This window comes from Homo sapiens, chromosome 17, assembly GCF_000001405.40.
Source record: "Homo sapiens chromosome 17, GRCh38.p14 Primary Assembly".
Taxonomy (NCBI): Eukaryota; Metazoa; Chordata; class Mammalia; order Primates; family Hominidae; genus Homo; species Homo sapiens.
Window position 1 is genome coordinate 17,383,074 of NC_000017.11, and position 26,935 is coordinate 17,410,008.

At 51.4% G+C, this 26,935-nt stretch overlaps 1 pseudogene, besides 4 other annotated features; it reads right to left on the reverse strand.

Annotated features, from left to right (window-relative positions):
- On the reverse strand, positions 282 to 990 carry RPL13P12 (ribosomal protein L13 pseudogene 12; annotated as a pseudogene).
- Positions 4,899 to 5,399: an enhancer, noted in NCBI's record as "H3K4me1 hESC enhancer chr17:17291286-17291786 (GRCh37/hg19 assembly coordinates)". NCBI's record gives its function as "activates a minimal SCP1, AML or CMV promoter by ChIP-STARR-seq in primed H9 embryonic stem cells {active_cell/tissue: H9 hESC(primed)}" and the evidence as "EXISTENCE:reporter gene assay evidence [ECO:0000049][PMID:30033119]".
- Positions 8,962 to 9,191: an enhancer, noted in NCBI's record as "active region_11799". NCBI's record gives its function as "activates an Ori minimal core promoter by ATAC-STARR-seq in GM12878 lymphoblastoid cells {active_cell/tissue: GM12878}" and the evidence as "EXISTENCE:reporter gene assay evidence [ECO:0000049][PMID:35858748]".
- Positions 20,281 to 20,835: an enhancer, noted in NCBI's record as "H3K4me1 hESC enhancer chr17:17306668-17307222 (GRCh37/hg19 assembly coordinates)". NCBI's record gives its function as "activates a minimal SCP1, AML or CMV promoter by ChIP-STARR-seq in primed H9 embryonic stem cells {active_cell/tissue: H9 hESC(primed)}" and the evidence as "EXISTENCE:reporter gene assay evidence [ECO:0000049][PMID:30033119]".
- Positions 20,836 to 21,388: an enhancer, noted in NCBI's record as "H3K4me1 hESC enhancer chr17:17307223-17307775 (GRCh37/hg19 assembly coordinates)". NCBI's record gives its function as "activates a minimal SCP1, AML or CMV promoter by ChIP-STARR-seq in primed H9 embryonic stem cells {active_cell/tissue: H9 hESC(primed)}" and the evidence as "EXISTENCE:reporter gene assay evidence [ECO:0000049][PMID:30033119]".

The following is a 26,935-nucleotide window of genomic DNA, read 5'->3' on the forward strand; positions in this document are numbered from 1 at the left end:
TGGTGCCCATGTTGTAGCATGTACCAGAACTTCCTTTTTTTGATTAATGTTCCGTTGCCTAGATACACACCATTGTGTTTATCCCTTCGTCTTTTGATGGACATTGGGTTATTTCCACCTTTTAGTGAATGTGATTAATGCTGCTATGGACATCTGTGTGCAAGTTTTGGTTTGAATACCTGTCTTTAATTCTTCTGGGCATGTACCCAGAAGTAGGGTTGTTGGGCCAGATGGAAAGCTGTATGTAACCTCCTTTTTTTTTTTTTTTTTTTTTTTTTTTTATTCCAAGTCCCCAGGAGGGCTTTATTTTTTCTTTTCAACATCCTGTTCTGCGGCTTCCTTGGCTCTTTTTGCCCGTATGCCGAAGAGCCGGGCGTTGGCACGGGCCATACGGAGACTAGCGAAGGCTTTGAAATTCTTCTCTTCCTCAGTGATCACTCGAGCTTTCTCCTTCTTATAGACATTCCGGATGGGCATGACCGGTCCGGTCAGCTGGGTGGCCAGTTTCAGTTCTTCAGCAGAACTGTCTCCCTTCTTGGGGGCCGAGGGCTTCCTGGGGAAGAGGATGAGTTTGGAGCGGTACTCCTTCAGCCGCTGCACGTTCGCCTGCAGGGACTCCGTGGACTTGTTCCGCCTCCTCGGATCCACAGAAATGCCGATGGTCCGGGCCACCTTCTTGTGAATGCCGGCCACCCTGAGCTCCTCCAGATTGAAGCCGCGGCCGGCGCGCACCTTCGTGTGGTACCGAACCGTGGGGCAGCACACGATGGGCCGGATGGGCCCCGACGCGGGGCGCGGGGCGATGCGGCGCGCCTTGGCTTGCCGGGCCTTACGTCTGCGGATCTTCCGGGCCGGCTGGTTGAACCACGTGGCCACGCGCCGCTGCCAGTCCTTGTGGAAGTGGGGCTTCAAGACCATGCCATTCCGGCTGGGCGTCATGGCTGCCTACGGCCCTGCGGCTCCTGAGCAGGAAAACAGCCGAGCGGAAAGGCCTGTAACCTCTTGAGGAACTGCCACACCGTGGGTTGCTTTCGAGCACTCTTGGGGTTGTAGCTGAAGACATGGATGATTGAGTGGAAGATGGTTTTGCAACGCCCGTGGGTGTCTTAGAGAAACTAGAGCAAGATAAAACCAGCGTCACTAAACTTTCACAGTCGCTCCCCTGCCAAGCCAAGCCTCCCTCCCACACCTGGTCATCTTCTTGGGGCTACCTGGGCTCTTTACTGAGCTTCCTTCTCCTTCATCCCGGACCTCCTGGGGCACCTTCCTCCAGCAGGGCAGTCCTCTGAGGTTGACCCTGCACGGTCCCTTCTGGGGACCGGGTTCCAGCACTCCTCCTGGCTGAATCCCACATGCAGCCAGGCTAGAGGGCTTTGCAAGTGGCAGGGGAACACCTCGATGCCCAGTTCTCGGGACCCTGCCTTACCTCCCATGCTAAGGGCATCAGGAGCCCGGGCAGCATCCATACCTCACCTCACCTCCCTCCCATGGTCCATGGGGTCACCAGGAAGGCCAGGCCCTGGGAGCACCAGTGGGGAGGCACCCCTCGCAGTGAACCTGAAAGTTTATTATCCAGTCCACACACACCCAACCTGTGCTGTGGGCAAGGTACTGTTCACAGGCTGGGGACACAGTACTTGTCCTCATTGAGAAGGTCCCCAAGGCCCAGCTACATAATTTCCAGGGCCTGGTGCAGAATGACACTGTAGGGCCTCTTGTTCAAAAATGTAAAAGATTTTGAAGGTAGGGATAGCAGGGGCCCTTCTCCCTGCACAGGTCCCAGCCCACGAAGCTGTGGGTGGGCACATTCTAGAACAGCACTAATGCCCTGTACATGGGGAGTGGGTCATTAGGCCTGAGCCACCCATGGGCCCTGGGTGAACTCAGGTGCAAGAAGTGACTTTGGAAAACATCCGTCCATTTCCCACTTTAGCACTGGAAACACCAGTGCGGAGAGAGGGGCTCTCAGCCTGCTCAGGGCTCAGGCAGGGCAGCGACCAGCACCCGCAACCTGCATCGGAGCCTGAGCGTTGCACTGCACCCCCTCCTCACCCTCCCTGCTTTGGAGAGGGTGCAGGCTGTGCAGGAGTGGAGGTCTGAATGAACTCAGGTGTGGACGTGTGTTGGGAAGACACTGCAAGGCCTGGCCCTGCCAGCAAGGTAAGGAAGAGAGGATGATGTGTGTCCCCACCCTAGGCCGAGAGGAGCCCCTGACAGTTAGCCTCACACATGGCTGAAAACCATTTAGAGAATTGACACTCTGACCTCAGCATCCTCTCAGTCCACAAAGATTGATTCCTGGGGACCATGCCGTTCTGTCTCTGGCTGGATTTTTCTTTTTTGAATTGAGGTAAAATACACGCCACATGAAATGTATCGTTTTAACCATCCCCCCTCTGCAGCCCCTGGCAACCGTCAATCTGCTTTTTGTCCCCACGGATTTGTCTATTCTGGACATTGCATCCAAATGGACTCCTATAGCATCTGGCTGGGTTTCAAATGATCCTGGCTTCCATTTGTTGAACGCTGATAATCCCTGTGTCAGCATATGCTGGGCGCTTCTATCCGCATTATCTCAGCTCATCCGCACAACAGCCTAACAGCTGGCACATCTCACAGAGGGGACAACTGCTCTCAGAGAAGCCATTCAGACAGCAGCTGGCAGTCCCCAAGCCCTCTGACCTCAAGGACCTCAAAGACTCTGGCGTGGCGGAGTCGAGCCGGCCGTGTCAGGGAAAGAGCGGGACTCATCTTTGTGTCCAAAATAATATGAGCAGTCACAGGGGAGCTCTGAGGGGCTCAACACCCTCATGTTCAGATGCGGAGAGGCCAAATGGTGGCAATGCCTAAGTCCTCGCCAGGAGGCAGTAGCAGAGCTGGGCAAGTAGGCGAAGAGTCTGGGGGGCTCCAGCCCCCCTCCAGCAGTCAGCCCCCAGTCTCTATCTCAGCACCCCCTGGGGAAGGCCCAGGGTAGAGCTGACTCTCCACCCACAGCCAAGGGAGGAGCCTGGCACCTCCTTCATTTCCTCTCCTCATTTAAAGAATTACCACCCCTGAGGGGTGTTTGCTTTTTGAGAGAGAGAGAGAGAGAAGAGAGAAGAGAGATTCGTCTGCACAGCTTGCGTATCCCATGGATGGCAGGAGTTAATAAGAGAGTCTTCTCCGCAATTAATACCCTTGTTTGGTCACAGGATGGGAGCATCGCCGTCCTCTGTTGATCTGCCTGGAAGACCAAACTCACCACCCAAAGCGGAACTCCCCTGGGGACGTTTTGTTCCCAGCATTCCATGGCAGCTGCAGAAACGGAACACAGCTTGCTCCTCCAGGGACCCGGCCAAGTGCCTTGGGTGGACAGGCCCAGGGATGCGGCAGGACAGCCAGGCCTGGGGGTCTGTGCAGGGAGGGGCAGCAGCTGAGCCCAAGATGGTGCCATTCAGGGCCCAATAACAGGTAAAGTATTATTAGTGAGGGTGCCAGGAATGAGAGCACTCATTGTGGGTGGCGTCGCCAAGTCAGAAAAGGATAAACCAGATGAATTCTCAGGTGCTCACTTGGTGTGGGAGGCCTGGGTTGAACTCACACACATAGGTGGATACAAAAACACATGTGTGGGTAGGTGGCTCTGCTCGCTGAGAGGGCCACAAGCAGCGTCCCCCCAGCAGCCATGAGCACAGTGCCCGCCCAGATCTTGGCCTGTCATGCTGTCCTCCATCAGGCTCCTTGGAGGAAGCGTCTGGAATCCTGTGTTGCACCATGAAATCAGGTGGCCTCAAAGAAGGGTTGGGACGTGTCACAGATATCCAGAAGCCACCCTGAATTGGCAAAATTGGGATGCTGTGAGCATCAACATAAACAATCGTAATAACAGACTGTAACCCAAAGAAGGAATAGGAAAGCATAAGTCCTTGCAGATATAAGCAAATGAATGAATCAATTGAACATGTGCTGAGCAATGGAATAATGGCATAATCTCAAAAATACTTATTCATGACAAAGGGGAAAATAGTACCTTTGCACTGGAGAAGCCTGATAGACATCATCTAATCGAGTAAGCCCTCCCCTGGGTGCCATTTCCCTGGCAACACCTATGCTCTCCCGCGCTGGGGCTTTGCTCACCTGTGCGTCACCTGACATGCCCTCCTCTCTGCTCTCGGCTATTAAAATCCTACCTATGATTCACACCTGGCTCCAAGGCCACACCCTCCCCAGCGCCTTCTCTGACCACTCCCACCAAAAGTGACTTTAGATCCTATTTCATTCATTCACTCAATGCTATTATGCTCCTACTGCATACTGAATGAGAGGATGCCACTGAGGATACAGGAAACACTGATCAGGGAGCTCCCCGGTCTGCAAGGGACAGTAGGCAGGTGACCCTCTCATGAAAGGGGCCTCTTGTGTTTTATGGCTGGGCTGGAGCTAAGGCAAGGTGGGAGTGGGGATGTTTCAGGTAAAGGTGTTGCAAGACAGTGGGTATGAGTCATCCCCAAGTCCTGAGCTCAGCGTGACTGGTCGGGTGGCAAGATGGAGAGGAGAGGAGAGTGGCACTGCTAGGAAGCCCCCTGTCAGGGAGACAGAATTCCATCCAGGACTTACGTGTCACTAGCATTTTGCTACAAACCAAATGGTCCTTGGTTGGCGGGAAGCCCAGTCTGGACCCTGGTCCACTGTGTGGGTTTGGGAAACCCCCTAACCTCTCTGAGTTTCCAGTTCTTCGTCTGTGACATCAGGGGCTGGGTTGAACAGTGTGTGGGTAAGCTGGAATCCAAGAATTCTACCTCTGGAAGGCAGTGCAGCAGGGCGAACAGGGTTCATGGGTCTCAAGGTCAAAGGGCCAGCTGAGGGAGAGCTGGACTGTGCATGCTTGGACCGGCTGGCTCTGGGCTCCAGAAGGGACTGCCGTGTGAGAATGTGAGTTCCCTGGGAGGAAGTTGTTGCCCAAGCCCCGCTGGAAAGCCAGACTGCCCTGCTCTCTGGGGGATTCTGGTGGGAGAGGGACCAGGCCCCTTGAGCTCCTGCTTGGCCTTAGCTGCTGTGTGTGAGCAGAGAGCAGCTCCAGGAGCAGGCTTGAGGCCTCTGGCTCTCGGCCTCCTTCGCAGCTGTCATTCAGACTCCGCAGCTTTCCTGTCTTGCTAGGAGCCTGCACTACCTCTTCCCACCTGTGGGCTCCCTCCTGGCTGCGCACAGGCCTGGCACCCGCAGGTGTTCACCTGAAGGGTGAGCCCCTAGTGGCTGGCTGACGTCTGTGGGGATTGGCATGGTGACTTCTGCCCAATGGCCTTGGTGCCTTATCCAGACATCCTCCACACCTCAGACTGGCGGGGCAGAGGCTGTCAGGGGAGCCCAGCAGTGTGTGTGGCCTCGGGACATGTGGCCTCGGGCTGCCCCCCTGCGCTTTCAGAGCACCTCCTTTGGACTGGAAGGTTTGGGGGCTTCTGGAATCCTCTGAGACCTGGCTGTACCTCAAGGCCTTTCACACCAGCCCCTTGGAACTGACATCAAGACCCTAAGGCCTCGGGGATTTAGGGGAGATGGCCAACGGAGTGGGGGCCATGAGACCCACAGGGGTATGGAAGGGCTGGAAAAAATCACAGCCTTAGGGGAGACAATGGCTTCCTGTGCTTCCTGGATTCTAACGGGGGTCCTGGAGCCTTGCAGCCCACCCCCTGCCCGGTCTCTCCCATCCCTCTCCTTCCTCCTCTGGCCTCGCTCCAGGGTCTGACAGCTGCGGGCTTGACTCCCAGCCCCACCACTCACTGTGTGCTCTCAGGGAAGTCACTTAACCTCTCAGAACCTCAGTTTCCTCATCTGTAGAATGGGTAGGAGAATAGCACATTTGAACCACAGAGATGAGTGGTTAAGGATGCCTTCCCGTGTCAGGCATGTCCCGTGGTGCCTGGCACGTGGTAAGTGGTCAGGTGAGTTCCACTCCTCCTGACGTTGCTGTGGTCACCCCGTCCTCCCCTGATGGCAGGCGCTGGGGAAGCAGCTGTGGTCTGCAGAGGCTCAGGCCCTCCTGAGCCGCAGCCTTGTCTCAGCTCCAGCCAAGAGCTGCAGGAATGTGGCTTGCCATACCACAAACTGCTCTCTCGGGTGACCATGGAGATTCGGACTTCTCCTGTGAAAACTCCTGAATGTTAAGTGGAGGTAGTGCAGCGTTGGCAGTCACTGCCCTGCCCGTGTCCCCACCACGAGGATTGCCAGATGAAATGCAGATCAAGTGAGCCATGATCCCACCACTGCACTCCAGCCTGGGCAACACAGCAAGACCCCAACTAAAAAATACAGATTGTACAGGTTGCCAGTGAACTCTGATTAGGGATATTTATTAATTTACTTTCATAGGTCACTGTAACCTCGTGCTCTTGGGCTCATGAGATCCTCTTGCACTGATCCCCCAAAGCCCTGGGATTACAGGTGTGAGCCACGGCACCCAGCCTAAATTTGGATTTTTTTTTAGTATAAATACATACTAAATATTGCATGGGACACGCTTATCTGAAAATTTTATTTATTGTTTATTCAATATTGAAATTTAATAATAAAATTAATAAATTATTAATTTATGAAGGCCCTGTGTGCCTATGCGTGTGTGTGTGTGTGTGTGTTTATTTTCTCTCTTTATCTCTGGCAACGCTACCTGTGACTCTTCCCATTTCTGAGCATGCAAGCTCAGCTCCAACCATATCTGCACTTTTTGGCCCACAGACCTGCTCTGACCACTGGCACCCACAGCCAGGAAGGGCTGGGGAATACTCTCCTGAAACAGTGACATGCCTGGCGTATTCCACACAGGGACAGATCATTTTTTAACACTTCCCTTCTCTACATGACAAAATTACATTCAATACTAATCATGAAACAAAAGGAATAATATTAATAGCTAAAAAAGGAATGCAAGACCAGGTGCAGTGGCTCACGCCTGTAATCCAAGCACTTTGGGAGGCCAAGGCAGGTGGATCACTTGAGGTGAGGAGTTCGAGACCAGCCTGGACAACATGGTGAAACCCCGTGTCTACTAAAATTACAAAAATTAGCTGAGTGTGGTGGCGGGCGCCTGTAATCCCAGCTACTTGGGAGGCTGAGGCAGGAGAATTGCTTGAACGCAGGAGGCAGAGGTTGCAGTAGGCTGAGAGTGTGCCACTGCATTGCAGCCTGGGCAACAAGAGCAAAACTCTGTCTCCAAAAAAAAAAAAAGGAAATGCAGATGAGAATTTGCTTGCAATGACCTTTCTGTATGAAATCATGATGAGGAAAAATGGCATCAGAAAAGTGATAAAAACTTTCCTTCATGTTGATCAGTCACGATAATGGATAATGACATTATGGTTTCTATTTTCAGCTTTCTTTTCTGCAGTTGTGTCAAGTGATTTTGTCAACATTGGTCTTCCTCATGGACTTGTGTTGAATAGCCAGGCTTCAACACAGTGGGCTGAATAGTCAGCTCATATTCTCTCCTAGGGAATGGATGAGCATTGTTTATTAACTTCAATTTTGTAAAGTTTCTTTTTGATGAAGCAATGGGTACAAAATGTTAGAAAACGTCTTCAACGTAAGTATAACTTTGGTAGAGTTCTTTCTTTTTTCGAGACGGAGTTTCGCTCTTGTTGCCCAGGCTGGGGTACAGTGGTGCAGTCTTGGCTCACCGCAACCTCTGCCTCCCGGGTTCAAGCGATTCTCCTGCCTCAGCCTCCCGAGTAGCTGGGATTACAAGCATGTGCCACCACGCCTGGCTAATTTTGTATTTTTAGTAGAGACTAGGTTTCTCCATGTTGCTCAGGCTGGTCTTGAACTCTTGACCTCATGATCAGCCAGCCTCCGCCTCCCAAAGTGCTGGGATTACAGGCATGAGCCACTGCACCCGGCCTCTCAGAGATTTTTAAAAATCCCATTTCACAGTACATTCCAGAATGGGCAACATTGTCGAGGTCTTTATTTCTCTGGGATCAGTTCTAGCAGTTTTTGATTGCCTTCACCGTAGAGAAATATTGAGTGAAAATGGAAACTCCAAGTGAAAACGAAAACTCTAAGTGCTGATGAAAGTAACTCAAGCTCTGTCTTTTCGCCCTCACAGCCTCTGGGCTGTAGCTGCTTATTCTGAGTATCCTGCTGGGACCTAAGAACATGAGACCCAGAGGTTTAGAGACGGAAACTGCACCTGAATGAGCTGGAGAGGTCCTGGAGCATTAGGAATTCACTCTCGAAACAGACGCTTGTAGCTAAATATGCATGTCAGGGCTGAACCGGGTGGGAGTTTGCAGAACTAACTTCTACATGTACAATATAAAGTTTATTAAAGAATGAATAATAAAAAGTGTGAACTTGGAGCTTCACATATATCATTAAAACTCAACAGTTAACCCTGGAAATATTCTGGAACTTGAATGAACAAAAGATCTAGGAACCTGGAAAACATCTCTGATGATGTTTAGAATTGTCTGTGCATGGTAATAATAAAAACACTGATTTATAGTTGGTCATATTGAGAGGTGAAGCCGGTTGGGCTTCTGGGTGGAGTGGGGACTTGGAGAACTTTTCTGTCTAGCTAAAGGATTGTAAATGCACCAATCTGCGCTCTGTGTCTAGCTAAAGGTTTGTAAACACACCGATTAGCACTGTGTAAAATGGACCAATCAGCACTGTGTAAAATGGACCAATCAGCGCCCTGTGAAATGGACCAATCAGCAGGATGTGGGCGGGGTCAAATAAGGGAATAAAAGCTGGCCACCATGTGCCGCCAGTGGTAACCTGTTCAGTATGCTTCTGTGTGATGCTTGTTTTTTTTTTTTTTTGCTGTTTGCAATCTTGTTGCTGTTGGCTGTTTGGGTCTGCCCTGATTGTAAGACACCCATGGCAAAGTCTGCAGCTTCACACCTGGATGAAGTCAGCGAGACGGTGAGTCCACCAGGAGGAGTGAACAACTCCAGACCCGCCACCTTTATAGAGCTGTAACACTCATCGCGGAGCTCTGCAGCTTCACTCCTGAAGCCAACGAAACCACGAACCCACCAGGAGGAACGAACAGGTCTGGACGTGCCATTTTTAAGAGCTATAACGCTCACTGTGCAGGTCTGCAGCTTCACTTCTGAAACCAGCGAGACCACGAACCCACCAGGAGGAATGAGCAACTTTGGTTGCGCTACCTTTAAGAGCCGGAACACTGACTGCGAAGGTTTGTGGCTTCACCCCTGAAGTCAGCGAGACCACGAACCCACCACAAGGAAGAAACTCCGAACACATCTGAACATCTGAAGGAACAAATTCCGGACATGCCATCTTTAGGAACTGTAACACTCACCGCGAGGGTCTGTGGCTTCATTCTGGAAGGTAGCGAGACCAAGAACCCACTGGAAGGAGCAAATTCCAGACCCAATATTATTGTAGAATTCTCTCCAGAGTGTGGGTGTGGTGGCTCAGGCCTGTAATCTCAGAGCACTTTGGGAAGTCAAGTTGGAAGGATTGCTTAAGGCCAGGAGTTTGAGTCCAGTCTGGGCAACATAGTGAGACCCTGTCTCTGCAAAAAATTAAAAAATCCAGATGTGGTAATGTGTGCCTGTGTCCCAGCTTTTTTGGAGGCTGAGGTGGGAAAATGGCTTGAGACCAGGAGTTAAAAGCTATGAAGAGCTGTGATCATGTCATTGCACTCCATGTTAGGCAAGAGTGACGACCCCCAACTTTTAAAATATATATTGTTGAGGCAGAGTTTCACACTGTCCCCCAGGCTGGAGTGCAGTGGCATGATCTTGGCTCACTGCAACCTCTTCCATCAGGTTCAAGCAATTCTCCTGCCCCAGCTTCCTGAGTAGCTGGGGTTACAAGCGCCTGGCTAATTTTTGTATTTTTAGTAGAGAAGTTTTCACCATGTTGACCAGGCTGGTCTCGAACTCCTGACCTCAGGTGATTCACCCACCTCGGCCTCCCAAAGTGCTGGGATTACAGGTGTGAGCCTGGCATAAATAAAATTTTTTAAAAGAATGAAACAATTATCTACAGACAACTTGTCCCTTCATGGCCTGCGTAGGCAGGGCCCTGCCTTTGGCATCGTCTGTCTGGGGCCAGCTATTCTTTGACGTGAGTTGGGGTAAGTGTGCCAGCTCCCTCGCTCCAGCACAGAGGGACTGATCTGAGCCCTGGCTTTCCTGGGCAGATGGAGCTCCAGCTGCCCCAGAGGTGTCTATGTCAGTAACTTGCCCCTCCTTGGTTGCTCCTCCCATCTCCCTTCCTCCCATACCAGTGTTTCCTGGACCACCTTATGAATCAAGTGCTTGCACTTACATCCTGTCTCAAGATCAGTTTTTGGGAGAATCCCAGTCAGGACAGTAGCTCATTCAAAAAATAAAAAATAAAAAAAAATTCAAAAAACACACAACAGGCCGGGCGCAGTGGCTCATGCCTGTAATCCAGCACTTTGGGAGGCTGAGGCAGGCAGATCAAGAGATCGAGACCAGCCCAGCCAACAGGGTGAAACCGTGTCTCTGCTAAAAATACAAAAATTAGCTGGGTGTGGTGACGTGCGCCTGTAGTCCCACCTACTGAGGAGGCTGAGGCAGGAGAATTGCTTGAACCCAGGAGGTGGAGGTTGCAGTGAGCCGAGATCATGCCATTGGACTCCCGCCTAGCGATAAAGTGAGACTCCGTCTCAAAACAAAAAACAAACGAAAACAACAGTGACAACAAAACACACAAAAGACAAGCCAACAGAATAACATCACTGGTCCTCAGACAGGTGGATGATTGGATAGGCAGGTGATAAGGAGGTAGGTAAGCAGGGCTTACCTGAAGCTCATGGAGCGGAAGTTCAATGTCTTACTTTTCTAATTTTCCTCTTCTCTGAGTTCATGTCTCCTTCCAACTCTCCCTCCCCTCCAGCCTCCACAAAGGGAAAACGAAGCCCCCAGATCTTGTCTTTTAAGCCCTCAACCTGACGTCGGGGAAAGAACTCTGACCTGTCTTTCCTCCCTCTTTCTGGCGTGAGAGGGCCACACTTGGTAGGGGGTATCCTCCTTTTCACAGCTAATAACACAGAAACGAGCTCCTTGTGCCCGTTGGGCAAGGGCCACAGGGATGGGCCTCAGCCCCCGGCAGAAAAGGCTCCCCAGCTCCCGAGGGAAGTTTGGGAGCAGCCCGGGAGCTCCCATGGGCAGGCAGTAGGCGTGACGGAAAGAGAAAAATCACAGCTCACACCAAGTAAGGCCTGTTGCTGGGTGCGCTGAACCTTTGGACAAAACTTTGTTTCACTTAGCAAACCTCCATAACAATGCTTTGAGGAAGCGATTCCCATTTTCAGACAAGGAAACTGAGGCTCAGAAGGCAAAGTCACCTGCCTAAGTTTCACAGGGCTTCGGGGGTGGAACACTTACCAGTAGGAATGCTGGCCAGAGCCCCTTCTCTGCTCAAACTCTGCCTGTGGCTCCCACGTCACTCCAGGTAGAAGCTGAAATCCTTTCCATGGCTCACATGGCTCTGCTTAATCAGTCCCCCACCCTCACCCGATTCCCCCTAAGCCTACCCCCCACCACACTGCCTATTCTTGTTCCTCAGATAGCCCTGGATCCTCCCGCGTTGGGGCCGCCATCCCTGTATCTGACTGGAGCTGGCTTCCCATGGAAGTAGGTGACCCGCAGCCACCTCCCTGCAGCCACCAGGTCTCTCCCCACAGGCAGCTTTTCCTTTCGGCCTTCCCTGGCCTTCCTGTTGGAGATCGCAGCCCTCCCACCCACTGACCTCCTGCGGCCAGGACTCCCTGACGTATTCTCCATCTATCTTACATGGTTATGTATTGGATATCTGCCTCTTTCCAGCAAAACATTGGCTCTGAAAGGGCAGAGACTTTTGCATGGTTTGTTCACTGTCATTTCCCCGGTGGCCAGAACATCACCTGGCACATAGTAGGTGCCCAATATGTGTTTAATGGATGAATGAGTTGGGACCTGCACCCGGGTAGTTTGAACTAAAGTGAACTAACTAAAATGTACCCTGACAGAAACCAAACTTCACTGAATTGTAAATCAGACTTCAGTATTTAAAAAATTTATTTTTACTTTTTATCATGGAAATTTTGAATAAACACAAAGTAGCAAGAATAGTATAACATGTCACCCAGTTGCAACAATTGTCAACCCACGGGCAATCTTGCGTCATGTGCACCTTCTCCCACTTCCACCCTTCCTGTGTTATTTAGTTTAAAAAGTACCCCAACTTTTAGCATCTTAGTAGTTTAGCAAAATACCAGTTCCTGTGGATCAAGAATCTGGGCCCGTCTCATCTGATGGCTCAGCTGAGGGCAGAGCTGCTCCTGAGCTCATTCAGGCGGTTGTCAGTAGGACTCAGCTCCTCCCAGGCAGGGGGCCAGAGGCCTCCCTCAGTCCTTTGCCAAGTGGGTCTCTCCAGAGGGCAGCTTACAACACGGCAGTGGCTTTGCCAGAGTAAGTAAGGCGGTGCTGGGTGGGGGGAGTCCAGTTGAGAGGGGAGTCACAATCACTTGTGAACTAACCTCAGAAATGACATCCCAGCCCAGGGCAGTGGCTCAAGCCTATAATTCCAGCCCGTTTGGAAGCTGAGGCCAGAAGATTCTTAAGGCCAAGAGTTTGAGATCAGCCTGGGCAACTTAGCCAGACCCCATCTCTACCAAAAAAAAAAAAATGAAAAAAATTAGGGGGGTGTGGGTGCACACGCCTATAGTCCCAGCTACTCAGAAGGTTAAGGCAAGAGGATCACTTGATCCTGGGAGGTTGAGGCTGCAGTGAGCTGAGATTGCACACTGCACACCCGGCCTAAGCAACAGAGTGAGACCGTCTCAAAAAAAAAAAAAAAAAAAAAGAGAAGACATCCCATGGCTTTTGTGGTATTCAGTTCATTTGAATCAAGTCCCTAGGTTTGGCCTACACACAAGGTGAGAGATTGCACAAGGGTGTGAATGCCAGGAGGGGCCCTAGCCCATGCCTCCTAGAGAAATGTGGGCTCCTGGATGCAGGGCCCTGTGCGTGAACGCTCACCACAGCATTGCCACAAGGCAGAGGCTTTGTGCACCACGGCGCATCCCCCCAGCCCTCCTGGCCCAGCAGTGCTGTGCTGCGGCACTGCCTCCACCCTGCCTGTGCTGTCCTCTGCTCTTCTGCCTCTGGGCTTGCTCAGCCCCTGCAGGTACAGGCTGGGTTTGTGAGGGAGCTGATGTTCTTAGGGGCAATCTTGAACCGATGGGAAAGTGAGTCTGTAGATGAGTCTCTGACCTCCATCCTATGCATTCTACGTAGTGCTTCATACAATCCTTGGTGGGGTCAAGCTGCCAGTGCCAACAGCAGTGAACACCTTTGCTGGGCACCCTGCGTTGTTTCTGGACTCTTCCCCTGTTGTGGCCAGCTTCTGAGATGACCTCTGATGAGCCTTACCTCCAGTCTTCATGCCCTGTGACGCCTGTGGTCTGTTTACCTAGTGGAGTAAGGTGGAGGTGATGGTGTGTGACTCCCAAGGCCGGGTCACCGAAGGCATTGCAGTGCCCTCCTGCATCTTTTGGATTCTCGCCCTGGAGAATGCCAGCCGACGTGTTGTGAGGACATTCAAGCACCCTGTTGAGAGGAACTGAACCTCCAACTAACAGCCATGCAGATGAGCTTGGAGACAGACCTTCCAGCCCCAGGCGAACCTTCAGATGATGGCAGCCCTGGACAATGACTGACAGCAAACTCACAAAGAAAGCTGAGCTGGAACCACCCAGCCAAGACCCACAGAAGCTACAAGGGATAAATAAAAGATAACTGTTGCTTTAAGCCATCTGCTCATGGGGTAATTTGGTGCATGGTAGTAGATAATAGTGAGACTTTTATTCTCCTACTTCCTCCGTCTTGCTTCCTGAGAGCACCTCCCAGACCAACTGCCTGCACCCAAGCCTTTGTCTCAGCTCTGCTTTCAGGGGAATTCAAACCAACACAGTCACAGTGAAAACTTAGGGTCAAGATAACGTCTATCCACAAGACACTCGATAAACTGTGGTATTGTTATTCCACTGACCCCAAACAGCAGTGAACATGAGTGACCAAGAACTACCTCAATCAGCTAGGAGAGGTCCCTAGCACCTAATGTGAAATGAAAAAAATCAAGAAGCAAGAAAAAAGAAGAATACCCACAGTGAAACTCTCAATAAAAAGTTTCCAAACACATAGTTCCATTATTTGCACTAATGCTTATGGGCACATATGTATGTAGTGGTAAAAGCACAAAAGCTTTTGTGAGATGAGCAAACGCCAGAATCAGAGTAATGGCCACTTCCGGGGATACAAAGAGAGGAGAGACTGGCTGGGAAAGGGACCCAGGAGCACCATGTATTGGAATCCTTGGTGGAGAATTGAAGCAGATCTGAAGATGAAGCTTGTTGGTGAGTGCAAAGCTGTGTGTTATATAATTTTCTATGCCTGGTTGCATATTCATTGTTGCATTTAATTTTTTTTTTTTAGATGGATTCTTGCTCTGTCACCAGGCTGGAGTGTAGTGGTGCAATCTTGGCTCACTGCAATCTCTACCTCCCGGGTTCAAGAAATTCTCCTGCCTCAGCCACCCAAATAGTTGGGATTACAGGCATGTGCCACCACACCCAGCTAATTTTTGTATTTTTAGTAGAGACGGGGTTTCACCATGTTGACCAAGATGGTCTCGATCTCTTGACCTCGTGATCTGCCTGCCTCGGCCTCCCAAAGTGCTGGGATTACAGGCGTGAGCCACCACGCCTGGCCACATTTAATATTTTTTAAAATGAGGGATGAAACATACAAAGGGAACTTGGAGGTCTGATTCCATTTCAGCCGCTGGTTCCGTGGCCTTCCAGAGCACTTCCCAAAAGGTACCACTCATGGTCCTGCCTCAATGACTTTGCATTGGCTGTTCCATCCCCAGCGATACTTTTCCACCAGAGAGATGCCTGACCTCATTCTTGCCCTTGTGTTCAGAACCACAAAACACTGTATATTGTAAAAATGTCCCGTTTGCTTATGCCTGAGTGAATGGGTTTCTGCTGCTAACCCCCTGACCAGGCACAGAGCAGTGGTCTTTGCAAGGATGGGCCTGGGGCCTTTGGGTCATTCCTCCTGAGAAATGCTGCTCAGGCCTTTGACCAAGACACAGGAAAAAGGGAGCAGAGATGCAAACACAGATATGCAGCAACCACTCTGCCCAGATTCACCTCGGCTTCCCCCTTGGCACTTGCTATTTTCACAGCTCTCCAAGGCCATTAGTGACAACTGTGCCCTAAGTAGGTCACAGCGATTATCCCCCTTTTAGGGGCAATCATCATCATCATTGTGAGGCCGCAGGTTGGTGTTTAGTGTCCTGCTGTTCCACGAACTACTTGGACACTTGACAGCACAAAGCCCTTCAGAGAGGCCAGGGGCAGCAATCTGCTCTTTCCTTTTTCCAGAAGGAACAGAGGTTGAGAGAGGGTAAATGAACCCCCTGCCCTGCCAAGAAGAGTGTCAAGTGGGCTTTGGGGAGGGGATGAGTCCCCCTCAGACACTGTGAAAAAAAGGATGGTGTCCTCTGTGCCCAGGATCTGGTGTTGGCACCACAGACCACCCCCTTCCTTCAGAGAACGTCTCCTCTGTCCCTCCATGTGGTCCTGGGGAGGCTGCCAGGCCAGCTCACCGCCACCCTCCCTGCAGTGGGGAGCAGCCGGTCCAAATGGGATCATGAGCCACAAAGCACACAGGAAGTTGGAAATCCAGTGGTGCAATCAGAAGCAGAAAAACAAAACCCCCAAATCCAAGTGTCTCAGTGGACCACAAGATAAATTCAAGTTGGCAAGATAAAAAGGAAGGTTTCGCTAAGTGTTATTTAAGAAAAACAAGCAGGCAGGGCTCAAATTGGGAACAGAATGTGTGGGGATAAGCAAAGCTCTTCTTCTTGTACATCCCACAGTTTCCAGAGAGGAGGACAACAAAAATGCCTTGAGCACTTGAGGTGAGGACCTGGAGGAAAGGTTCAAGAGACCAAAGGCTTGCAACCTGGAGCAGAGAAAAGCACAGCCTCGCTCTGAGGCCCGCCCTTAAAGGCTGTGCCCTGGGCCCTGCCAGGCCCCACCCAGGTCTGGCCCTCACTTCCCTCACTGTTACACATTTGCCTTAAATTAAAAGCAGACCTGCACACAGCCACCCACCCGATCCTAGGGGCTGACACCATATTTTATCTGCCATTCTTTTATTTTTTATTTTTTTATATAGGAAAATGGAGACCCAGGAAGATGCACAAACTTGCCCACAGGTCCCAAGGCTGGCTGGGACTCTGTGGGACTTGAAGCCCAATGCTGGAGCCCACGTCCCTCACTGCTACTCCCTGCTGCGGCCCTGACTCACCCCTTCCAGCCTGCCCACTACTCTCAGCCCTTCCAGGCTGCCCACTACCCCGCCTGATGCTGGGTCCTAAGCCTGTGGGCTCCGGCCCAGCCCAGCTGTGCGTGGATCATAGAGTTGAATGGTGGCTCACTGGTCTCCCGCTCCCACCCCTGCCCCCACCCACACACTGCTAGTTTTCCTTCTAGCAGTCAGAGGGACGCTGTTGAAAGTCATCCTCCTTCCTCCCCACAAACCCTCCAGGGCTCCCACCTCCCTCAGGATGAGGCCAGAGTCCTCCCACTAGCCCCCGTGAGTGCTCTGGCCTGGTGGCATGCCTGCTCCCCTTGCTGCCTGCTCATTTCATTCTGGCCACTCACGGTACTGCCTCAGGGCCTTCGCATTGGCTGTACCCTCTCCTGCAATGCTTTTCCACACTACACAGACAGAACTTGCTCCCTCACCTCCTTCAGACTTTGTTCCACTGCAGCATTCTCAGTAAGCCTTCCTCGAGCGCCTTGTGGTAGAGAGGTACAGAAATACCCTCTAGGGTGGGAAGAAAAGCAGCCAGCCTGGGGCCCCAGTCAGGGCCTCAAGATGTGCCCTTATGTTGCTCCGATCCTGCCCTGTCTCAGGGTGTGCCCTGCTCTCAGATGTGCCTGCCGCTGACGACCATTCCCACTCCGACAAGGAGGCTGCAAAGGCTGTAGCACCCAGGGATGAGGATGAAGCATTTTTATTCTTCCCACTGTAAGACGAAGTAGCATGCGTAAGAAGCCACGTTGGCTCATTTCTGCTTGAACCCCTGACTCTGTGACAACGTGCAGCTCTCTGGAAAGATGCTTTGAAGGCAAAGCAGGATGAAGCGCCCGGCCCCGCACGTCTCTTGCCTGAGTCACTTGATTCCTTAAAAGAGAAGAGCTCTAGTCCTTGCCTTTCTGACAGGCTTAATGACGATGCCTCTGCCATCTATAACCAGAGGTGCTCTTACACCCACACCTTGATGGGCTGCTGCTTCAACGTAACTTCTGAGCAAGTCCGATGTGATTTTGCACTTGCTGAACCTCCACCACCTGTATGTAAGCCGTGGGCTTCAACAGAACTGCCCTGAGGCAGTAGATGTGGTCTGGAGTCCTCAGACTCCTGAATGAAATGAACTTTAGTTCTTCGAAAGCTTGATTTTGTTTTCGTTGTCAACACTGGGAAATTGGGCTTAGAGGGGCTTCCAGGGGCCTCTTTGCCCTCCAGCTTTCCTTGCCTCCTCTTGTCTCCTGATTTGCTCTTATGTTTCTCTACCTTCCAGGAACCCGAGTTGCTAAGCTCCTAGCTCCAGCCTGTCCCACCAGCGGGGGCTCCAAGGGGCTCAGGCTTCCCAGAGTCCAGTGCCCACATAGCAGACAAACCCACATCGTGTGCCCGAGTCTCCTGGCCTGGTTTAGGCATGTGATTACACTCATGGGGTCTGTGTCTCTTGCTCGGATTTAACCACATACCCTCCCAACCCGCCAACTAGGTTTCAATGCAAGGGAAGGCCAGATCCCTGTATGTCATGTCTAACCCACACACCCACGTGAGCGCATGTCTGTGCACATGGAGCGTGTGTCTGGGGTCCCGATGGCAGTGTTTACACAGGAACCTCTGTCCAGTGAGCAGGCACACACGCACGTCCTGGGCATCTGGTGCTAGAACTCTCAGGAGTGAGAATGGGGTAAGGGGCAGAGAGTCCTTTACAGTGGGCCACCAGGGCACCCCCACTGGCGGCATGGACCCACCCCCTCAGGGGGCATAGAAAATATCTGGAGCCTAGGTTGAGGGTATGAACGTCCCCAGGGAGAAGGAAGGTCATCAGTGAATGTAGAGTGGGCAGAGTTGCCCCTTCCAGGGGAGTGAGCAAGGGGCACATCCCGTCAGTGCTGGGTCCACCGAGGGCTTGGGGGCTGCCATTAGCCCATGTGGTGCGTTGTGTGAAGGAAGAAAGCGCCCTCTAATGGTGGCTGCAGTCCCAAGGGTTGCAGGGCTTGGCTAGCGGAGCATGGACTGAATGTCAATGAGCACTGCGCCTTTGGCAGGATGCCCTTGGGCAGTGCACAGCCTGTACCGCTGTACAGGGCATCCGTGGGGGAGGCGGGACTTGTGGAGACACATCAGACCAAGGTCAGCTCCAGTGTGAATGGGGGAAGTGAGGGAACCCGAGGGCAGCAAGAGGTGGAGAGGCATCCAAGAAAGGCCCAGAGGATATGTAGGCTGGGTCCCCACCAGCAGTCACGTGAGTGCCTGGCAAGACCATGAGTCAACATCCCAGCACTTGGGGTGGAGTGAGGTCCACACACTCACTCCTCTGGTGCCACCACAGCTCAGGGGGCCTCTTGTCTGCACGCTGAGCCAGGACTGGCCACGATGGAGGGGGCCAAAGAACAAGAGAGCCCTGCTCTCTAGTTAAAGAGAAAATATGCACCCACACGGAACATGTTTAAAAATGTTCTTCACAAGTTAAACCTAGAGTCACCATATGGCCCAGCAATTCCACTCCGAGGTGTCTACACAAAAGAATTGAAAACAGGTGGCCGGGCATGGTGGCTCACGCCTGTAATCCCAGCACTTTGGGAGGCCGAGGCAGGCAGATCACGAGGTCAGGAGATCGAGACCATCCTGGCTAACACGGTGAAACCCCGTCTCTACTAAAAATACAAAAAATTAGCTGGGCGTGGTGGCAGGCGCCTGTAGTCCCAGCTACTCAGGAGGCTGAGGCAGGAGAATGGCGTGAACCCAGGAGGTGGAGCTTGCAGTGAGCCGAGATCGCGCCACTGCACTCCAGCCTGGGCAACAGAGAAAGACTCCATCTCAAAAAAAAAAAGAAAACATGTATTTGAACAAAAACTTATACATAAGTGTTTACAGCAGCAGTATTCATAACAGCCAAAAGGTGAAAGCAGCCCAATTGTGCATCCACAGATGAGTGGTAACAACTGCAGATGTGGATCCAAGCTTGGACACTTCTTACCTTCCAGACCCTGGACAAGTTCTGCAGCCTCTCGGACCCTCAGTCTCTTCATCTAAAAAATGCAAACGACAGTGCCCAGTTCTTGGGTGGTTGGGAAAACTAAGCCTACATACATAAGGTGTCAGATGCCCTGTAGGTCCTCACGGAGGTACGATATACCTGTACGATGGGATATTATTCAGCCACAAAAAGGTACAAGACAAGTGGACCTTGAAAACACTATGCAGAGGGAGGATGGCAGTCACAAGAAATCACATACAATTCCACTTATATGAAATATCCAGAATAGGTAAACCAACAGAGACAGGAAGCAGACTGCTGGGTGCCTGGGGCCGGAGGAAGGGAGGAGTGGGGAGTGACAGCTCATGGGAATGGAGTTCCTGTCAGGGGATGAAAGTGCTCGGGAGCTAGATAGAGGTGATGACTGCACAGCACTGAGAATGTACTAAATGCCGTGAAATTGTTCACTCTAAAACTGTTAGTTTTATAGTGTGTGGATTTTACTTCAATTTAAAGAAATCTCATGCCTGAAATCCCGACACTTTGGGAGGCCGAGGCGGGAGAATCACTTGATCCCAGGGGTTCAAGACGAGCCTAGGTAACACAGCAATATTCCATCTCCAAAAAAAATTTGAAAAATTAGGTGGGTGCGCTGTCATGCACCTGTAGTCCCAGCTACTGGGAGGCTGAGGCTGAGACAAAAGGATCACTTGAGCCTGGGAGGCTGAAGCTGCAGTGGGCTGTGACTGTGCCACTGCACTCTAGCCTGGGTAACAGAGAAAGACTTGCCTCTCTTAAAAAAAGAAAAGAAAAGATCAAGAAAGCAGATGACCAACGGCCACAAAAATTTGCAGAGCTTCTTGCAGACTAGGGAACACAAGGCTGGTGTTTAGAATAGTCACCAGCTGGCCTCATAGAGAACAGTCTGAGCCCACCTCTCCCTGATGGGTTGTGGGGAGGCCTGGGGTCCTGGAAGAAGGCCGTGTGGCTCAGGTTAGGGGCTTGGGCTATGAATCCCTAAGTATGAACATATCTGCAGACGCCCCCTCCCGCTCTGCCGCAGGCTCCCGAAGGAGGTCTGGACAGAGGGGAGGAGGGCCAAGGGTTGGTGGGTTTTGAGGGTCAAATAGCAAGCACTTGGGTCCGGCCAGGTCCAGGATGAAATGCCAGATTTTCCATCTGCCGTCTGCATGGACAGATCCTGCAGTTTCCCAAACCTCCAACTCCTCACCAGTGAAATGGAGCCAGTAATTCCCACCCAGCAGGAGGGTGAGGGAGAAAATGCACGGAGGAGCCTGGGTCTGCAGGCAGGTGTGGAGGGCAGGTGCCTGGCTGGTCTGGTGGCCGTCCTTTGATTACTTTTCAGAAGCAGCCGGAAAATAAGGCTCAAGTGCCCAGAATAGAAAGCCAGGCCGTCCAAACATAGGTTTAAAAAATATAACCGGGAAAAATCAACTTCCTTATGTTCACACTCGACCTCAGGTGTATTCATGGGGAAACGGCGAGAGGTCTGGAGGATGTTTGCAGCTGCTGTGGGTGGTGGTGGGCAGGAAGCCCTCCCCACCACCGCTCTGCCTGTGCGCCCGATCTGCCCGCCGTGGGGCCCAGACACACTTCCTCCTCTCCCTCTGCGCTCTGCTCCGAGGGCAATTTGGCATCTGCCGCCTTCAATTAACATTGCAGACTGGAAGTGGGGGCCTAGGGGAAGGAGGTGGGCCGCAGCGGAGAAAAACAAGCCCACTGTGTTGACAGCTGGGCACACCACCTGCTCCAGTGTGGCAGGGAAGTTGAGGACCGCAAAGCCAGGAGGGGGTGAGGGAAGGCTGTTGCACACACTGGGCCTCTGTGCCCCCCTCACCGGTTGCACCCCCAGATGCAGGCTCTGTCCCAGTCCCTGTGCCAGGACTGGCTTGAACAGACCCCTCAGCCCTCTGATGGGAGGAGGGAAGGCAGGATGCACCGAGGTGGGAGTGTTTCTCCAGCCCTCTCTCTGCCAGGCTGAGTCTTGCTGGTTTCCCTTGATGGTGCACACCAAGGGATCCTTCACTGAACTCCCTGCAGTTACCGTGGCAGGCAGGCTTTTTCCTGCTGCAACACTGGCTGCTACCCCAGATAGTGCCTCGGTGGGTGACTGCGTAAGGAGAGCAGCTACCTCCGGCCCTACTGCCAGGTTCAGCTGGGTGGCACTGGGCCTGCCTCTCATCAGGCACAGTCTTTGAGGACAGTGACCAATGACTAACCTCAACAATGACACTGGGGCCAGGGCTGATGTCTGTGTCTGGTACCTTATGTATGTGGGCTTATTTTTCCAACAACCTGAGAAGTGGGCACTGTCATCCCATTTTCTAGATGAAGAAACTGAAGGTCTGAGAGGCTGCAGAACTTGTCCAGGGTCTGGAAGATAAGAAACTTCAAAGCCAGGCCGGGGCCTGCATCTCAATCTCCTAATCCCAGCACCTTCTGGTTGTTGCCCAAGCTGCCCCTGGGGAAGTCCAGAGTTAAACGCAGTGAAGGCAGAGTCATGGACCATGCGTCCAGGGACCTGGGCAGTGCCATAGTTTGAATACATCCCCCAGAGTTCATGCGCCATCCCCAGAGCAGCAATACTGAAAGGTGGAGTCTTTAAGAGGTGATTGCCCTCTTGAATGTATTAATCCATTCATCAATTCATCATCAATCCAATTCAACAATTAATGGATTAATGGGTTATCACAGGAGGAGAGCTGGCAGCTTTATAAGGAGAGGAAGAGAGACCTGAGCTGGCGGGTGGGCACGCTCAGCCCCCTCGCCATGTGATGCCCTGTGTAGCCTTGGGACTCCACAGAGTCCCCACCAGCAAGAAGGCCCTCACCAGATGTGCCCCCTGACTTGGGATGTCTCAGTCTCCAGAGTTATAAGAAGTAAATTTCATTTTGTGTAAATTACCCAGTTTCAGGTATTCTGTTGCAAGCAACAGAAAATGGACTAAGCCCAGCAGTGAGATGCTGTTGGCATCACAGGACTCTGTCATGAGCATCCACAAGCAGCCTAGGCTTTTCAAGCCTCAGTTTCCCAGCTAGAAGATGGGTCAGACAGAGCCCCTCATGGGGCTGTTGCAAGGATAACATGGAGACAATGGGTGCAGGGTGAGTGCCTGGGATGTAGGGAAGGGTTCCATAAAGGATCAACCTCTTGCTTCCGCCGCCTCCTTTTTTTCAGGATCCATGAGACTCTGGACACAAAACGGCTTTGGGACTCAGTTAGCAGCATCCAGGGAATGGGAAGCATTGTAGGGATTCTGTCCAAGTCACTGAGTCAGAGGTGGTGGAAAATTAAGCCCCAATAGGGCACTGTTTTATCCCGCATGTGCATGTGGGGAAGCAAATCAGGACCCAGGAGATCTGGATTCTGGAAAGATAAGACAAGGCGCTGGAGGAGGTGCCAGTCTACTTCAGAGTGGCCCCAAGAGGCACTGTTGGGCTCCCTCAGACAGAGCCAGTTCCATTTAACCCACCCCCTGACCTAGTTTGGTGTCTCTATGAGAGACACTCTGCAGAGTGCAAATTGCTCTGAACCAACTTCAGCTGGGCCAAGTCAAATGGGAATGAGATGCACATGGAGGGCCTTCCCCATGTGTGTCCACACATACAGGTGGGAGAGCATGTACAACCCATGCACCCCACCTCCAGGCCCATCTTCTGGGCAAGGCATCCCCTCCCTGGGCTGCTTCCTCATTGAGTGAAGTGCTTGGATGGAAACTGAGTTGCTTGCATCCTTTCCCCCCAGAGCTGTCTCTTCAAACAATCTCCCATGGAATCTCAGCATAAAGAGAAAGTGGGAGCACAGATGGGGCGTGTGGGGCCCTGGCCTCCTTCACAGGCCAACTGGGACCCCACAGAGTGCAGCTGAGCCCCAGCAGAGGTAGATTTCCTGGGCCCCTTCCGGGCCTGGTGCTGTCTGATGGGTACCTACCTGTCCTGGTGATGTCACCCCAGTGCTGTCACCAGAGGTTTTGTGTCCAGCCCTGGCTCAGAGCTCAACCTATCCTGCATGCGTCTGGTGACCTTTGGCATCCGCAGGGACACGCTGTGCTGAGGCTGGGCTGGAGGGAGGATTACACGGCTCTTACGCTGTTGCCAAACACATCTTGGAGAAGAAGAGAGAAAGAGCAAAATAAACAGAGCCATGTTCACCTCCCTGGTGCCCGATGAAGAAAGCCTTTCCTGAAATAGCTTGGCCACAGATCCTTGTGGAAAATCCCAAAGTTGAGAGAGGGATGCACCCTCCTGTCTCCTGTAGAGAGTAGAGTGCCCCCCATCTTCCATCCCCCCCAGATCTCTGGGCACTTAGGGAAATAACCTGTTTAGAAGTAGTTCTATTTTTCTAGCAATTGGGAGGGTCTTGTGTATAGAAGAAAGTGCAAGAAAATTAAGTCATCTGGACATATTGTCGAAAAAATCATGAAGGACATGGGGAATCATCTCCACCCCTTTCTTCTTGCATGATTTTGGGCGATGTCACTTTAGCCACTGAGACTTGACCTGTGTGATCCGGTCCATGGGGTCCTACAAATATCTATTAGGCTCCAACCACCGCATCTGGCTCATGGAGGAATCAGAACATTTCCTTTCTTCCTCCCGTAGGTTGCATCACAAGCAAGGGGCTAAGTGAGCCTCAGTTTCTGCATCTGTAAATGCGGGTGTGTGCTTCATGACCAAGGCCTCCAACAGCTAATATGACCCCAGTGTCACCCTGGGTGCTGTGGGCCACTGTGTGCACAGGAAGAAACAGACTGGGAGGGACTAAACAGGGAGGAGAAGAGATGTAAGACATATGGGGAGATAGGGAAAGGAATAGAGAGGGCCAGGGAGAGACAGACACACAGTGAAATATGGTGGAAGACAGACTGGGAAAGACAAGGAGAGAGACAGGGGCCCACCAGAGATTAGAGAGAGACACAGAGATAGAAAGAGACCAGAGAAATGGCAGTTACAGAGAGAGATGAGGAGAGACCAGGGAGACACAAAGACAGGGACAGACACAAAGACCAGAAGAGGCAGGAGAGAGAGGAAAGAGACACACAGAGAAACAGGGAGACACAGAGGCAGATACAAAGAAACGCAAAGAGATACACCGGGAGAAACACGCATTTACACAAAGCAACTGTTGTCCTGGTTTCAGGTTTGTGGGTCCAGGCTCCAGTGAGGTACGACTACGCCTGTACCCTCAGCTTCCAAGAACTTCCCCCTTGTGCCCCTGAGTTGTCTGGAGTGGATTTCTGTTTCTTATAATCCAAGCATCCGGAGTCAGATGACCCCCTCTTCCAGCACCAGCAGACTACCTTGGCCCACTTTGAGCCTGGCCTCTTCTGCTCACACATCCCTCCTGCCCAAACATCCTGGGCATTTTTTTGTTTCATTGAAGAAAGATTTTTGTTTTGAAATAATTTCGGATTTACCAAAGAGTTGCAAAGATAGTACAGAGAGTTTCCATGTACCTTTCACTCACTTTACTTAGTGTTTACATCTTACAGAACCATGGTACTATCCTCAAAACTAATAATTAACATTGTTAAAATACTATTCAATAAACTATAGACTTTATTATGTTGCCACCAGTTTTTCACTAATACAAGAGTCAGAAAACTCTTTCTGTAAAGGACCAGCTTTGCAAGCCATATGGCTACACAAAAGCAACCACTGAAAATACGTAAATACCAGCCTGGATAACATAGTGAGACCTTGTCTCTACCAAAAACAAAATTTTAAAAAATCAGTTGGGTGTGGTGGCGTGCACCTGTGGTCCTACTTACTTGTGACGCTGAGGCAGGAGGATCACTTGAGCCAGGGAGGTCAAGGCTACAGTGAGCTGTGATTGCACCAGTGCACTCCAGCCTAGGTGACAGAGTGAGGCTCTGTCAGAAAGAAAGAAAGAAAGGAAGGAAAGGAAAGAAAAAAGGAAGAAAGGAAAGAGAAAAAAGAGAAAGATGAAAGAGAAAGAAAGAAAGAAAAAGAAAGAAAGAAAGAAAGACAGAAAGACAAATGAGCATGGCTGAATTCCAATAAAACTTTATTTACAAGAGCTGGCAGAGGGCCAGAGTTGGCCCATAGACTGTAGTTTGCTGATCCCTGATCAATGTTCTTTCTCATTTCCAGGTCTCACATTGCCTTTAGTCGTCAGTTCCTCGGCCTTTCTTTGTCTTTCATGACCTTGATATCTGTGAACAGTCCTGGTCAGGTATTGTGCAATATGTTGCTCAATTTGGGTCTGATATTTTCTCATAATTAGATTGAGGTTATGCATTATTGGAAAAACTACCCCAGGAGTGATGATGTGTCATTCTCAGTGCATCATATCAGGAAGTACATGATGTCAGTGTGGCTTATTACTGGTAACACTGACCTTGACCTATTGGTTACAGTGGTGTTTGCCAGCTTTCTCCATTATAAAGTTATTATTTTCCCCTTTGTAATTGATAGGTATTGGGGGAAATGCTTTGCATCTGTGCAACTCTTGTTTCTCCTTAAACTTTCTCCTACGAGTCCGAGCATCCATCGGTGGGTCTTGCCTGCAGCAGTTGTTCCTGTGGTGTTCAGATGGTGATTTGCTGTTTCCCTGGTTCCTTCCACTTTCATTAAAGGGAACTCCTCTCGAAGGAAAAATGGTCCCTTCTTCCCCATTTACTTATGCAATCAGTTATTTATATCAGTATGGATTAATGGATATTTATTTTATTTGATGAGCTAAAACCCAATAGTATAATGTACCTGGATGTGTTGCTGGACTGTTCCAGTTTTGACTCCTGGGAGTTACTTCCAGCTGGCTCCCACATCTTCTCCACAGTCCCCTCTTTTTTGAGCTCGTCCTGACTTTCTGGCCCTACTTGATGCTCCAGCCACATCTGGTACCTTCCCTGCCCCAGCCCTGGGCTCCGATGCTTCTCAGGAAGGTGCAGGCACTCTTGCCCTGACTCCTCCTTCTTTTTTTTTTGAGATGCAGTCTTGCTCTGTTGCCAGGCTGGAGTGCAGTGGCATGATCTCGGCTCACTGCAACCTCCACCTCCCGGATTCAAGTGATTCTCCTGCTTCAGCCTCCCGAGTAGCTGGGACCACAGGCGTGCGCCACCAACCCAGCTAATTTTTTGTATTTTTTAGTAGAGACGGGGTTTCACCATGTTGGCCAGGATGGTCTCGATCTCTTGACCTCGTGATCCGCCTGCCTTGGCCTCCCAAAGTGCTGGGATTACAGGCCGGCCAACTCCTCCTTCTTCCTCCAGGGTACTCTTCCTCCCTCCCGGTGGCCACTTCCTCTTTGCTTCCTCCTCCAATGTGTAGACCTACCTCCTCCATGCAGCCTCCTCCCCTCCCGCCAGCCCTGGTCATGCCTGCTCTTCCTCCTGACCTATCATGGCTCCGGCTGCTTGCCTGGCTGGTCCCAGTTCAACGGCACCTGTCACCCACCTCATGGGTCTGTGGCTATCTCCAAGGGCTGCTTCTGAGGCCCCCTGAGCTGACCGCTGGGCTTCCCCTCAAACCTTGGGGACAGGCTGCTGCCCTCCTAGCCTGAGATGTCACCTCCAGGAAAGCATGGCTGAAAACCATGTAGCAACATCACTCATAGGTGCACACCACTGTGGTAGGCA